Genomic DNA, 15,695 nt, shown 5'->3' with positions numbered 1-15,695 from the left:
AAACTTTTCGGCGAGGCGCAGTGGCTCATGCCTGTAATCCCAACACTTTGGAAGGCCGAGGTGGATGGATCACCTGAGGTCAGAAGTTTGAGACTAGCCTGGCCAACATGGTGAAATCCTGTCTCTACGAAAAATACAAAAATCAGCGGCATGGTGGTAGGCGCCTGTAATCCCAGCTACTCGGGAGGCTGAAGCAGGAGAATCACTTGAACCCGAGAGGCAGGTTGCAGTAAGCTGAGATCCCGTCACTGCACTCCAGCCTGGGTAACAGAGCGAGACTCCGTCTCAAAAACAAACAAAAAACAAAAGAAATAAACTTTCCAAGTGACTGATTTAAAAATATTATTAGCTGCATTTTTAAAAATTTCTTAACTTTTTAACAGACATGGGGTCTCACTATGTTGCCCAGGCCGGTCTCAAACTCCTGGGCTCAAGCAATCCTCCTGCCTCAGCCTCTCAAAGTGCTAGGATTACAGGTGTGAGCCACCACACCTGGCCAAATGCACATTGTATTTTCGTAATTACAGCCTTAATGAATATGTTCATAGACATGTATATATTCATATTTGTGTTTAGAAAGAATTCTGGAAGGAGCCACAAGAAACTATTAACTGTAGTTGCCTAAGGGAAGGGTGAAATGGAAACAGGACAGAGGGACTGAGGAACAGAGCTGGGGAGAAATTTTTCACTGAATATATTTACATATTTTTAAATCATATGAATGTTTTGCCTACTCAAAATACTACATTTTAAAAGAAAATAAAATAAAAATCAGTTTTGCAAGCCGGGTGCAGTGGCATGCAACCATAGTCCCAGCTCCTCTGGAGGCTGAAGCAAGAAGAACACCTTAGCCCAGGAGTTTTAGGCTGTAGAGCCCTATGATGATGCCTGTGAATAGCCCTTGCACTATGACCTGTGCAACATAGTGTGAAATTAAATAATTTAAACTTAAAGCTGTTGGAAATTTAAAATATTTTCAGCCTTGAGAGGAATATGGCTATGTGGCCTGAATCACATATCATGAAGCTACAACTTCTGCTTCTCCAATTATAGATTAAATCTCATCTTCATTCTTGTCCTGCAAATGATTAGGAAAAACTGGATGGTACTAGAAGTAGAGGTATTATTATTTTTATCTCTAACAATAATAATAATTTTTTAAAATCAGTTTTTCATAATGGCAGCAGACAAAAAATTATCACTGCAGTGTCTATGGCTAACAAAAGGCCCCAGAGAAACTAGAGCCCAAAATCCATGACAATGGAAAGAAACCACAATATAAGAAATGCTTGTGAACAGTTATGTTTGAGTCAGAATGGGAATGGTGATGTTGTTTTGCTGGGTACCAACTAGCACACCTGGTTAATGGGAAGATAACCAAGGTGTAAGGTTTTTTGTCTTTTTTAATTTTCCAGCAAATTGCAATACATAAGTATACTATGATTCCAGTTTTTTAAAAAAATTATGTATCAGTAAAGTGTGAAAAAATTTAACAAAGTCTGAACCATGGAGACCCCAGACAACAGAGCCTGTTTAGCATACTGAAGGAGCACCAGGCTCCAAAGCTAGACCATGGAAGAATCCCATTATTGTTATTTGCCAGCAGCATTATCTTGACTTGTAATTTAAACTCTGTGGTCTGCCCTGTGAAAAATGGTAATATTAATAATTCCCAATCCATATCACTATTGTGATAATCTAATCAATTAAATCATGTTAGAAATCCAAATAGTGCCTAACATGTGGTAAATACTCAATAAAAGGTACTGATTTTTTGTTGTTGTTGTCGTTGAGACAGAGTTTTGGTCTTGTTGCCCAGGCTGGGGTGCAATGGCGTGATCTTGGCTCACCACAACCTCTGCCTCCCAGGTTCAAACGATTCTCCTGCCTCCGCCTCGCGAGTAGCTGGGATTACAGGCATACGACAATACGCCCGACTAATTTTGTATTTTCAGTAGAGATGGGCTTTCACCACGTTGGTCAGGCTGGTCTTGAACTCCCAACCTCAGGTGATCCTCCCGCCTCGGCCTCCCAAAGTGCTGGGATTACAGGCATGAGCCACCGCGCCCGGCAAAAGGTACTTACTGATTTTTAAATTGTTGCTAAGGTGGCACTGTCCAAGAGAAATAGGTGTACCTCATATGAAATTTTAAGTTAGCTAATAGCCATATTTTAAAAAGACAAAATATATTTTATTTATTCATATTAGCATTTCAACATATAAACAACATAAAAAATAATGAGATATTTTGCATTCTTTTAATTTTTTTTTTTTTTTTTTTTTGTGATGGAGTTTCACTCTTGTTGTCCAGGCTAGAGTACAATGGCGCAATCTCGGCTCACTGCAGCCTCTGTCCCCACCCCCCAGGTTCAAGCCATTCTCTTGCCTCAGCCTCCCGAGTAGCTGGGATTACAGGCTGTGCGCCACCACACCCAGCTAATTTTTGTATTTTTAGTAGAGATGGGGTTTCAACATGTTGGCCAGGCTGGTCTCTAACTCCTGACCTCAAGTTATCCGCCCGCCTTAGCCTCCCAAAGTGCTGGGATAACAGGCATGAGTCACTGCCCCCAGCCCCTAAATTTTCAATTGAGAATATAATGAATCATTTTTATAAAAGTTCTACTGCCTTTCAGAAAAACTTCAAAAGAGATGAAATAGAAACGTCAAGGATTTCTTTACTACTCTTTTAAACAAAACACAACTTCTTCTGGTTTATTTACTTTATTATTTATTTAGTTTACCTAAATAACCTGAAAAATATTCTTGAAATTAATTTATACTTCCACCTCTTTTTTTCCTCATATTTAGCTGATACACAGGGGGGAAAATAAAATGAATATTTTAGAATCTCATCTTGAGTTGGTTAATTCTTCATTTTTTCTAGCCCTGACATTGCATTCTTTTTTCTTTTTTTTTTTTTTGAGACAGTCTCCCTCTGTCGCCCAGGCTGGAGTGCAGTGGCGCAATCTCGGCTCACTGCAACCTCCGCTTCCCAGGCTCAAGCGATCCTCCTTTCAGCCTCCAAAGTAGCTGGGACTACAGGTGTGAGCCACCACTCCCAGCCATTTTTTTTTTTTTTTGTATTTTCAGTAGAAATGGGGCTTCACCATGTTGGCCAGGCTGGTCTCCAATTCCTAGCCTCAAGTGATCTGCTCGCCTCGGCCTCCCAAGGTGCTAGCATTACAGGCGTGAGCCACCGTGCCCAGCTGACATTGCATTCTATTTAAGATTCCTGCTTTAAGCATGTTCTGACTAGGCAGGATGCGGTGGCCCATGCCTATAATTCTAGCACTTTGGGAGGCCGAGGCAGGGGATCGCTTAAGCCCAGGAATTCAAGACCAGCCTGGGCAATATAGAGAGATCCTGTCTCTGCAAAAATTAAAATGAATTAGCCGAGTATGGTGGCACAAGCCTGTGGGCCCAGCTACTGGGGAGGCTGTGGTGGGAGGATTGCTCAGGCCAGAGTTTGAGGCTGCAATGAGCTGTGATCATGCCATTGCAGTTCAGCCTTGGTGACGGAGTGAGATCCTGTCTCAAAATTTAAAAAATGTTGTCCATCCTCCTGAAATCTCATTGGTTTCAGGGATGATAGGTTGGTAGTTTACCTCTAGAGGGGTAGTGGAAGCAATTATTCACTGGTCCCCCAACCTGTGTTGTTTTTCTCTCCCTCAAAGAGCTTCCTATTTGTCTAGCACTAATTCCTGACAAGAAGCCTGGATAGAACCTCATTATAACATGGCAAAGTAATTAACCCTCTGTCTAAATTCTGTGGAATTTTGTTGTTGAAATTCTTTGACTTTGGTTTTAAATTTCTTTTTGGTTTACTGACCACTTCTGAAAGACCATAATCTACAAAAATTGTGGCCCATCTTCTAGACAAGTGCACAGAGAACACACATAAAACTGTCAGTATATAACCTTTTCTACTGTTTGGTTTTTACTATTGTATAACACCTACTCAAAAGCATAATTCTTTCTGACTTCAGAGCAATTGACTTTTTATTTTATTATGGTTTCTGACTGTATGAGCAATATATGGTTTTTTTAACATTCAGGAAAACAAAATAATATGTAAAATACAAAGTGAAAGTTTCGATAATCTCACCCCTTAGAGATGCATTGTCTAATATGGTAGCTAATATCCACTTTTGGCTACTGAGCATTGGAAATGTGGCTAGTCCTAAATGAGATGTGCTATAAGTGTAAAATACACACTGGATTTCAAAGACTTACTTAAAAATAAGAATGCAAGCCCGGGCAACATGGCAAAACTCCATCTGTAGTAAAAATACAAAAACTAGCTGGGCATGGTGGTGTGTGCCTGTAGCCCCAGCCACTCATGAGGCAGGTGGGAGGATTGCTTAAGCCCAGAAGTTGAGGCTGCAGTGAGCTGAGATCGGGCCACTGCACTCCAGCCTGGGCAACAGAGCAAGACCCTCCCTCAATAAAATAAAATAAAATCACAGCTATTTGGGAGGCTGAGACAGGAGAATCGCTTGAACCCGGCACAGGGTGTGGGAGGGGAGTGAGCCGAGATTTCGCCATTGCACTCCAGCCTGGGCGACAGAACGAATCTCCGTCTCAAAAAAACAGAAAAGAAAACCAAAAAAGAAAATTAAGTGAATAAGTTCTTTATTTTTTACAGAACAATATATTTTTTAAATTCTAACTTTAATTTCTACCTGGAAGATTTCTAGCGCTTAGAAGCTTCGGAACATTTTAAGAGTGGTAGTTTTGCTCTTTCCTCCCACCTTTGACTTGACTCCTTTTTTTAATTAAAATTGTTTTCATTTTTTATTATTTTTATAGAAACAGGGTCTCACTATGTTGCCCAGGCTGGTCTTGAACTCCTGGCCTCAAGCAATCCTCCTGCCTCAGTTTCCTAAAGTGCTGGGATTATAGGTGTGAGCTATCACGCTTGGGCGATTTTTTTTCTTTTTCTTTTTTTTTTTTTTTGAGACGGAGTTTTGCTCTTGTTGCCCTGTTGCCAGGCTGGAGTGTAACGGTGTGATCTCGCTCACCGCAACCTCTGCCTCCTGGGTTCAAGCGATTATCCTGCCCCAGCCTCCCGAGTAGCTGGGATTACAGGCATGCACCACCACGCCTGGCTAATTTTGTACTTTTAGTAGAGATGTGGTTTCTCCATGTTGGTCAGGCTGGTTTCGAACTCCCAATCTTAGGTGATCCACCCACCTTGGCCTCCCAAAGTACTGGGATTACAGGTGTGAGCCACCACTAGCCCAGCCCTTTGTTTTTTTAATGAGGAGGTATGATTGTAAATTTATGGGTGAACGTGGCAGGGCCACGGTGCCCATATATGAGGTCAAATGTTATTCTGAATGTCTCTGTGAAGGTGGTCTTGCGATAATGTGGGTGTGCCTCAACCAATCAGTTGAACTGAGTAGAAGACTGACCTCTCTTGAGCCAAAAGGAATTCTGCAACAGACAGGCTTTCAGATTTGAATCACAGCATTGGCTCTTGTCTGGGTCTCTATCTAGCCTGCTGGTCCGCCCTGAAGTTTTTGAATTTGCCAACCTCCATAATAATGTTAGCCAATTCTGGCTGGGCGCAGTGGCTCATGCCTGTAATCCCAGCACTTTGGGAGGCCAAGGTGGGTGGATCACCTGAGGTCAGGAGTTCAAGACAAGCCTGGCCAACGTGCTGAAACCCTGTCTCTACTAAAAAATATAAAAATCAGCCGGATGTGGTGGCACATGCCTGTAATCCCACTACTCAGGAGGCTGAGGCAGGAGAATCACTTGAACCTGGGAGGCGGAGGTTGCAGTGAGTCGAGATCGCGCAACTGCACTCTAGCCTGGGCAACAGAGCAAGACTCCGTATCAAAACAAAACAAAAAAAATTTTACCTTTCCAGTGAAGAGAAGATAATATCAAACACAGAAATATGTAATGTATATTGGTATGCTGAGTATGCTGAGAAATGCAAATGTGTTTTTATCTTTAGAAATTGGACTTTTAAAACTTTGAAATCACTGAGTTTTGTATTTAACTACAATACAAAACCTACAGCACAGAAGGAATATGAATAATCTCTTTTAAAATACTAATTCCTTTTCTTTTTTTTTTTTACTAATGGCTGGTTTTAATTTTTTTAGAGGAAATACTATAATTTAAAAAAAAGTTCCAAAATATTTAACAGAATTTCCAGCAATGATTATTTCCAAAATGTAAAGATTTGAAACATAATTTATACAAAACTAAAAACCAGAAGGATTCATTCTTGCTTTTTCCTTTTTTAAAAAATCCAGACATTTGTCACAAGAAAGTTCGGCATGTGATAGCAGCTGTAGCCTCAGTCACCCTCAGAATCGCTGTCCCTCCTCATGAGGACAGAGTGCCACACTGATGACAGCAATACATCTTCAATCGGCTTCTTAGGGTTTTCCTCCAGGTCCATCATAATTGCTCCAGATTCAGACAGTTTCCATTCCAACTCATCTCTTGTCAGGTTCATGCCACCAAACACCAGAGGACCAATAAACTGAGCCTTGATATCTCCTTCCAGGTAAACAAATATCGGGGCAGATTCCTATCAGGATAATTGGGTATGCAGGTTGTTGAAATGGCTTTGATAAATTTGACATCAGGAAACTTCCTGGCAAGTCCACTGAGGTTCTGATTTATCAGGGCACAGAGGGGAATTCCTTGTTTGTAAAGGTGCAAGATGACCCACAAGCCCTCACCAGCTTTGGTAACTTCTTGAACATAATCCTTCCCTGAGATCTCCAAAACTTCTCAAAATTTATTCTTCAGTTTAGTTGCTTTCCACTCAGCCAGTCTCTGCTGTCTGCACATTTCAATAGCACATTCATCCTCCTCATTAAACTCGTCTTCATGATCCTCCAGCTCTTCCAAAGTCATATCTTCATATGTTTTCACCACTGACTGCTGGAGGATGCGCTGCTCCTCTTCTGCCTCCTCTTCCAATTCTTTCAGACTTTCCTTGGGGGGTAAGATACCCTTTTTGCGTTAAGATGTCATTCCACTCAGTGTCTGCGTTGGGGTCCTGCATCTTGTTTCCAGTTCAGTTGCTCAAGCCAGCTGTGCCACCTTGTTTTTTTGTTTTTTTGTTTTTTGTTTTTTTGAGACAGAGTTTCGCTCCTGTTGCTCAGGCTGGAGTGCAATGCACAATCTCGGCTCACTGCAACCTCCACCTCCTGGGTTCAAGCTATTCTCCTGCCTCAGCCTCCCCAGTAGCTGGGATTACAGACATGCGCCACCACACCCGGCTAATTTTTTGTAGAGACGGGGTTTCACCATGTTGGTCAGGCTGGTCTCAAACTCCTGACCTCAGGTGATCTGCCCGCCTTTGCCTCCCAAAGTGCTGGGATTACAGGCGTGAGCCACCGCACCCTGCCAATACTAATTCCTTTTCATGACCTCAGATGAACAAAACTACTCAAAAGGCTGCTATGTATAGATGTTCTCTAGCAGGGGTTGGCCAACTATGGCCCAAAAGCCATGTCCAACCTGCTTCCTGCTTTTGTACAGTCCACAGCTAATTATGCTTTGTACATTTTTAATGGCTAGAAAAAAAATTTAATATTTTGTGACACAAAATTATATGAAATTCATATTTCAGTGTCCATGAGTAAAACTTTATTGGAATACAGCCATACTTATTCATTTATCTACTGTCTATGGCTGCTTTTACACTATAACAGAGTAGTCATGACAAGAGACCATTCTCATCACTTGTCACTGCTGCTATCCATTACAAATCATAGTTACACTTTGTAACTTGGCAGCATTTTGAGTAGCATGCCTATTGCCATACCCCAAAATTTTATTTTTATTACCAGCATATATCCCTCATGTCAAAAAAAAAAAAGGTGTGGTGACACACACTGTAGTCCCAGTTACTCAGAAGGTAAGGTGGCAGGATCAATTGAGGCCAAGGAGTTCGAGGCTGCAGGGAGCTACAGTCACACCACTGCACTCCAGCATGGGTAACTCCAGGCCTTGTCTCTAAAAAGAAAAAAATGAGAGAGAGAGAGAGAGAATTGGACTTAAAATATCCCATCTCTAAGGTACCATGAAGCATGGATTATTTTATCAAATTCGATGGCAAAGCCTGGCGCTTACTATGCAAATGAAACTATTTATGTGCTAAAAGAATGCTATATGTTAATATTATTAGAATAAGCAGTCATCACAATATTCCCAAATTACAGAAAATCAGTCAGAAAAGGTAAAAAGAAATTAAAGAGTATGTCAACACAGAATTTCCTCACAAAAAAAGAAAGTGAGGCTGTAACTAAAGTAAGTTTCCAAGTGCCTCATTTGTTAGCCTAGTAAGAAAAGTCATTCATTATAGCATGTTAATTAAATGTTTGATTGAAGTGGCTGAAGAAATGTATACAGAAAAAATAAACTTGGCCAGGTGCAGTGACTCACACCTGTAATACCAGCGCTTTGGGAGGCCAAGGCAGGAGGATCACTTGAGACCAGGAGTTCAAGACCAGCCTGGACAGCATAGCAAGATCCTGTCTATTAAAAATAATTAATAATTTTTTTTAATTTAAAAAAAGTTAATTAAAAATTTTTTAATTTTTAAATTAAAAAAAGAAAAAGAAACTTACTTAAAACTATTAGCCTTTAGGTGAGAACAGCTGCTTAAAGTGTTAAGGACACAGGACACAAACATCAATAGTAAAACAAGGCAAGTTAGCCACATGAGGTGGCCTATGCCTGTAGTCCTAGCTACTCAGGGAACTGAGTCAGCCCAGGAGTTCAAATCCAGCCTAGGCAACACAGGAGATCCCATTTCTAAAAAAAAAATTTTTTTTGATTAGAAAAAAAAAATTTTTTTTTGATTAGAAAAAAAAAGCAAGGCAAGTGATTTTGAATGGTTTTCCTTAGCTTGTACTGAATTGACAGGTGTTATTGATGTTGCTCATTTGTTCCTATATATTCAAGGAGTCAATGATTGAATGGACTGAAGAATTAGCTCCAAAACAGCTGCATGAAACAGCTGAGAATATTTTTAACGAAGGTGAAAAAACACTAATTAAGTACACCTGAAGTAGAATCGCTTTGCTATATTGCAACTGATGATATAAAAAGAGAAAGGCTTAGTTTGACAGATTTACAATGCTTATGAAAATATAAGGTGTTTAAATCCTATGGTTATGACATCATTTGATTATTAAAAAACAGTTTGTGGAAAACATTTGAACTTACCATGTACAGATATTATTGAATCTGCAGTATCAATGATACAATTCATTCATCCTCATGGACTTAACTGTTGTTAGTCCATGAATTTTTGGTCAAAATGGCAGAATATCCTACCTTGCCCTGCCACATAGCATTTGATGACTTAGCAGTGATAACATTTTATTGTGATGTTTTTTGAGAGCCAAGATTGAAATTTTTCTAAATGAAAAGAATTTCTCTTAACCACTGTTACCTTTACAAATCATGAGACCTATAAATTTAGAAAGAAGATTTTATGTTTTATAAAGGCTTACAGCCAGCCAGGTGTGATGGCTTATGCCTGTAATCACAGCACTTTGGGAGGCCAAAGCGGGCGGATCACCTGAGGTCAGGAGTTTGAGACCAGCCTGGCCAACATGGTGAAATCCCTTCTCTACTAAAAATACAAAAAAAAAAAAAAAAATTAGCCAGGCATGGTGGCGGGTGCCTGTAATCCCAGCTACTCAGGAGGCTGAGGCAGGAGAATCGCTTGAAACTGGGAAGAGGAGGTTGCAGTGAGCTGAGATTGTGCCATTGCACTGCAGCCCGGGCGACAAGAACAAAACTCCGTCTCAAAAAAAAAAAAGGTTTACAGCCTGCAAGGTGTCCATCCCATAGGCTGAGAAGGATAGCCTCCAGAAAGACTAGAGACGGGCACTTCAAAGGAGGAGTGGTTGGGGTAGGAGCTTTATGCTGAACAGTTTGGTTAAACGTACACATTCAACAGGTTACTGGAGAAACTCTGAATATTCATAAAGGTGATCCTGACACATAGGTATTGAACAAACATGCATGTAACATATTACCGATGTTCACTTTGGAGTGGATATTTAATACTTAAATGTATTATAATTAGGTCCTATATGTCAAAAGCTCTTTTCAAGACACGAAGTCATGCAAGTGTGCAGCCTCTGAAAGCCTGCCAGAATCAGTCCATGGTTGGCGGTCTTCTTATCAGGAGAAAGTTACTGAAATCAGTCTCTTATCCAATCAAAGCTGGTGGAACGGGGATCAGTTATTCAGTGTCTGATGGTGAGCTACAGTTGTTTTAATATTGCTTATCTGTAGGCCAGTGATGGTTTAGCTGTTAGAGAAAAAGGAAAACCCTGGGGCAGTTAGAACACAGTTTATTCTTTAAGTGTAGGGGTATATGACTTAACCCTTACCTGGCATGGCCTTGGGTCTTGTTTATCTTTTGATACCTTTTTGCCACAAAAAGTCCTTTCTGTCAGTCTTGATATCTCTTCTTTAACATCAATGCTGGTCGGTTGTTGTGTCTAAACTTCAAAAGGGAGGGAGTTTAATGAGGCATGTCTGCCCTCCTGTCCTGTTATGATCAGGAACTCTGTTTTAAAGGTTTTTCTGGGGTCACCTTGGCCATGAGGGTACGTTCATGCAGTTGGCAGAGGGCTCAGGATTTTATTTATTTTACATCACTGACTGAATGACTTTGAAATTCATTTTTGCTAGTTTGCTAATTTTGATCATTTGATGATGCATCCTAATAAAGTCAACATAAATTACAAAGCAAAACAGTACTGACATGCAAAACTTACTGTGATGAAGTCATTTTGACAACTAACATTATTTGAGTCACAAGTTAAAACAAAAAGCAAGCTCTCTATCCTCACACAAGTTTGCAGTGGTTATATTTTTCAAGCTCAAACTACAGTTTTAGTGGTGTTTTACGGATCTCTGCAAACACAAAGGAAATTTCCATATTTCAAAATCCATTTAACTGTGCAACTGAAGAGCTTCCACCTAACCATCAGTTAGAAATGATTCATCTGACATGCTAAAAGGCAGATATGAAGAGAATAATATGTTTCTGTAATTGTTTTCCAAGAGCATAATATACTTAATTTAAATCATATGCCCTTGGATTGACATCATATTGGGCAGTGCCTACATGTGTGAAAATATATTTTTCAAAGATAAAATCTGTAAAATTTCATTACAGATCATGATTGACAGATGAACATTTGCAATAGATTTTGATAGGGAATAAGAACTTTGAAACCTAATTAAGAAAAATGTTATTCTCCATCTCCCCACAAAAAGAATTTCATTCTTCTGATTAGCATACCTGATTTACAAAAATTTGTACTCGATATTATTATATTTTGAATTTCATCAGTGAAAATGTTGTGGAAATTAGTTTTCCCTGTTTTTCTACAAGTATCTACATAAAATCTTCAATTTTGCCCCTTAGCCCATAGAACCTAAAATATTTACCCTCTGGCCATTTACAGAAAAAGTTTACTGATTCTTATTCAGAAAGTAAAATCTAAGTAAGAAGTTAGTGGAAGAGAAGGAAGATTTTCAGCTTGGGCACAGGAGAAAGAACCAATGGGGTATGTAAAAAATAAGCAATCATTCCATACCAAATCATATTTTTAAACCATATTTTGGCCAGGCACAGTAGCTCACATCTGTAATCCCAACACTGGGAGGCTGAGGTGGGAGGATCGCTTGAAGCCAGGAGTTCGAAACCAGCCTGAGCAACAAAGCTAAACCCTCACCTCTACAAAAAATAAAAATAATTAGCCAGGCACATGCCTGTAGTCCCAGCTACTTGAGAGGCTGAGGTGGGAGGATCACTTGAGCCCAAGAATTTGAGGCTGCAGTGTCCTGTGATCTCTCCACCGCACTCCAGCCTGGGCAACAGAGGGAGACGCTGTCTCAAAACAACAAAAACCAAAAAAAAAAAAAAAAGTTTTCTTGCGCTTGCCTTTCTGAGCCAATCAGTAATACCAATTTCTTCCAGAAGATGTCTCCCTTTATTTTCCCTAAATAATAGGAAAAATTTCAAACGTACATAAAAATTCAAATAATTGTGCAATGAACATTCATTTACCTACACTTTGATTCTATTTTGTGGGGCGATCGGGGAGACAGGGTCTGGCTCTATCACCTAGGCTGGAGTGCAGTGGCGTGATTAAGGCTCACTGCAACTTCTGCCTCCTGGGCTCAAGTGATCCTCCCAAATCAGGCTCCTAAGTAGCTAGGACTACAGGGAGCACACCATCACACCCAGCTAATTTTTTTTTTTTTTTTTTTTTTGAGACGGAGTCTCGCTCTGTTGCCCAGGCTGGAGTGCAGTGGCGCAATCTCGGCTCCGCAAGCTCCATCTCCCGGGTTCACGCCATTCTCCTGCCTCAGCCTCCAGAGTAGCCGGGACTACAGGCACCCGCCACCACGCCTGGCTAATTTTTTATATTTTTAGTAGAGATGGGGGTGTCACTGTGTTAGCCAGGATGGTCTCGATCTCCTGACCTCGTGATCCGCCTGCCTCGGCCTCCCAAAGTGCTGGGATTACAGGCATGAGCCACCGCGCCCGGCCCACACTCAGCTAATTTTTGTATCCCTCTATCCATCCATCAGTCTATTATGGGGTTTTTTTTTGTTTGTTTGTTTGCTTTTTTTTTGACACAGGGTCTGGCTCTGTCACCCAGGCTGGAGTGCAGTGGCACGATCTTGCAATCTTGGCTCACTGCAACCTCCTCCTCTGGGCTCAAGCCATCCTCCCACCTCAGCCTCCCAAGTAGCTGGGACTATAGGTATACACTACCACACCTGGCTAATTTTTGTATTTTTTGTAGACATAAGGTTTCATCATGTTCCTCAGGCTGGTCTCCAGCTCCTGGACTCAAGCCATCCGCCCACCTCAGCCTCCCAAACTGCTGGGATTAGAAGTGTGAGGCACCACACTGGGCCCACGATGTTTTTAGTGGACAAGTACATCTCTCCCTAAATACTTCAGCATGTATTTCATTAACTAGTGTTCAATATTTATTTAGTTTCCTTTCTGCTGAAGTAAAATTTATATACACTGAAATTTTCAAATCTTAAATTAGCATCCCCTGAGTTTGACAAACTGTATTATTAAACCAAAACTCATCAAGATATAGAAAACTGGCTGGGCCCAGTGGCTCATACCTGTAATCCCAGCACTTCGAGAGGCCAAGGCTGTTGGATCACGTGAGGCTAGGAGTTTGAGACCAGCCTGGCCAACATGGTGAAACTCAATCTCTACTAAAAATACAAAAATTAACTGGGCATGGTGGCGGGCGCCTGTTATCCCAGCAACTTGGGAGGCTGAGGCGGGAGAATTGCTTGAAACTGGGAGGCAGAGTTTGCAGTGGGTCAAGACTGCACCACTGCACTCCAGCTTGGGCAACAAGAGCGAAACTCCTTCTCAAAAAAAAAAAAGGATATAGAAAATTATTATTCACATGGAAAGTTCCCTCCTACCCTTTTCCGGTTAGTCCTTCCCCTCCCATATAGAGGCAACCAGTGTTCTGACTTTTTCCCCCCACCATAGGTTATCTTGCATGATGTAGAACTTGATATATATGGAATCATATGGTATGTACTTTCAATGTAAGTCTTTCAATTAATATAATGTCTGAGACTCATCCATGTTGTGTAAATCAACAGTTCATTCTACTTTATTGTTAAGTAGTAGTACATTGATATGTATTATAGTTTGCCTATATATTCACCTACTGATGGGCACCTAAGCTGTTCCCTGTATTTGTCTATTATGAATACAGCTGCTATAAGCATTCCTGTATAAAGTATGGGGATTTTTTTCCCGCAAAGTATTTTTTTAATTACAAAGTAATACAATTGGTGCTTACTTTATTTTTCAGGACTGAATTGTGGGACATAAATTAATCCCAAGATACATAATAATTGTTTGAAACTTTTCATCATGGAAAAGTAATTTAAAAGTATATAATAATATAGAGACTATTTTGATGAACCCTGGTACCTAATATCCAGCTTCAACCATTACCCACTTCTGGCCACCATCTTTCTTTTCTTTTCTTTCCTTTTTTTTTTTGAGACAGAGTTTCACTCTTGTTGCCCAGGCTAGAGTGCAATGGTGCGATCTCAGCTCACTGCAACCTCTGCCCACTGGTTCAAGCAATTCTCCTGCCTTAGCCTCCCAAGTAGCTGGGATTACAGGCATGTGCCACCATGCCCAGCTAATTTTTGTATTTTTAGTAGAGACGAGGTTTCACCCTGTTGGCCAGGCTGGTCTCAAACTCCTGACCTCAAGTGATCCGCCCGCCTTGGCCTCCCAAAGTGCTAGGATTACAGGCGTGAGCCACCATGCCTAGCCCTTTATTTATTTATTTTTAGAGACAAGGTCTCATTCTGTTGTCTAGGCTAGAGTGTATGATCATAGCTCCTGTGCAGCCTGCAGTTCTTGGGCTCAAGCAATCCTCCCACCTCAGCCTCCCAAATGCCTAGGACTACATGAGTGTACCACCATGCCCAACGAATTTTTAAAATTTTTTGTAGAGATGGGTCTCACCATGTTGCCCAGGCTGGTCTTGAACCCCTGGCTTCAAGCAGTTCTCCCACCTCAGCCTCCCAAAGCACTGGGATTACAGGAATAAGCTACCCTACCCATGAATCATTTTTCATAAATGACTTACACACAGTATTAGTCAGGGTTCTCCAGAGGGACAGTGTGGGGAAAAGCAAGAGAGATCAGATTGTTACTGTGTCTGTGTAGAAAGAAGTAGACATAGGAGACTCCATTTTGTTCTGTACTAAGAAAAATTCTTCTGCCTTGAGATTCTGTTAATCTATGACCTTACCCCCAACCCCGTGCTCTCTGAGACAGGTGCTGTGTCAAACTCAGGGTTAAATGGATTAAGGGTTGTGCAAGATGTGCTTTGTTAAACAAATGCTTGAAGGCAGCATGCTCCTTAAGAGTCATCACCACTCCCTAATCTCAAGTACCCAGGGACACAAAAACTGCGGAAGGCCGCAGGGACCTCTGCCTAGGAAAGCCAGGTATTGTCCAAGGTTTCTCCCCATGTGATAGTCTGAAATATGGCCTCATGGGAAGGGAAAGACCTGACCGTCCCCCAGCCCGACACCCGTAAAGGGTCTGTGCTGAGGAGGATTAGTGTAAGAGGAAGGCATGCCTCTTGCAGTTGAGACAAGAGGAAGGCATCTGTCTCCTGCCCGTCCCTGGGCAATGGAATGTCTCGGTATAAAACCCGATTGTACGTTCCATCTACTGAGATAGGGAAAAACCGCCTTAGGGCTGGAGGTGGGACACGCGGGCAGCAATACTGCTTTGTAAAGCATTGAGATGTTTATGTGTATGCGTATCAAAAAGCACAGCACTTGATTCTTTACCTTGTCTGTGATGCAAAGACCTTTGTTCACGTGTTTGTCTGCTGACCCTCTCCCCACTATTGTCTTGTGACCCTGACACATCCCCCTCTCGGAGAAACACCCACGAATGATCAATAAATACTAAGGGAACTCAGAAGCTGGCGGGATCCTCCATATGCTGAACGCTGGTTCCCTGGGTTCCCTTATTTCTTTCTCTATACTTTGTCTCTGTGTCTTTTTCTTTTCCAAGTCTCTCATTCCACCTAACGAGAAACACCCACAGGTGTGGAGGGGCAACCCACCCCTTCAGGACAGAACCAATAGGAGATAG

The 15,695-nt window shown here is 41.3% G+C and overlaps 1 long non-coding RNA gene and 1 pseudogene across 2 annotated transcripts, besides 1 other annotated feature; both read right to left on the bottom strand.

Annotated features, from left to right (window-relative positions):
- Nucleotides 1–6,089: 6,089 nt before the first annotated feature.
- On the bottom strand, nt 6,090–7,072 carry PDCL3P4 (PDCL3 pseudogene 4; annotated as a pseudogene). The gene has a single exon (NR_002941.2). The product of NR_002941.2 is annotated as a PDCL3 pseudogene 4 (transcript).
- Nucleotides 7,073–10,031: 2,959 nt separating this feature from the next.
- Nucleotides 10,032–12,185, bottom strand: LOC124909402 (uncharacterized). Its single transcript, XR_007095987.1, has 2 exons — nt 10,387–12,185; nt 10,032–10,304 (listed from the first exon to the last, which is right to left on the bottom strand). It is a non-coding gene; the product is annotated as an uncharacterized LOC124909402 (long non-coding RNA).
- Nucleotides 14,698–15,649: an enhancer, noted in NCBI's record as "NANOG-H3K27ac-H3K4me1 hESC enhancer chr3:101422701-101423652 (GRCh37/hg19 assembly coordinates)". NCBI's record gives its function as "activates a minimal SCP1, AML or CMV promoter by ChIP-STARR-seq in naive H9 embryonic stem cells {active_cell/tissue: H9 hESC(naive)}" and the evidence as "EXISTENCE:reporter gene assay evidence [ECO:0000049][PMID:30033119]".

The sequence above is a fragment of the Homo sapiens genome, chromosome 3 (genome assembly GCF_000001405.40).
Source record: "Homo sapiens chromosome 3, GRCh38.p14 Primary Assembly".
NCBI classification, from domain to species: Eukaryota; Metazoa; Chordata; class Mammalia; order Primates; family Hominidae; genus Homo; species Homo sapiens.
This window is presented reverse-complemented; position numbering and strand designations above follow the sequence as displayed.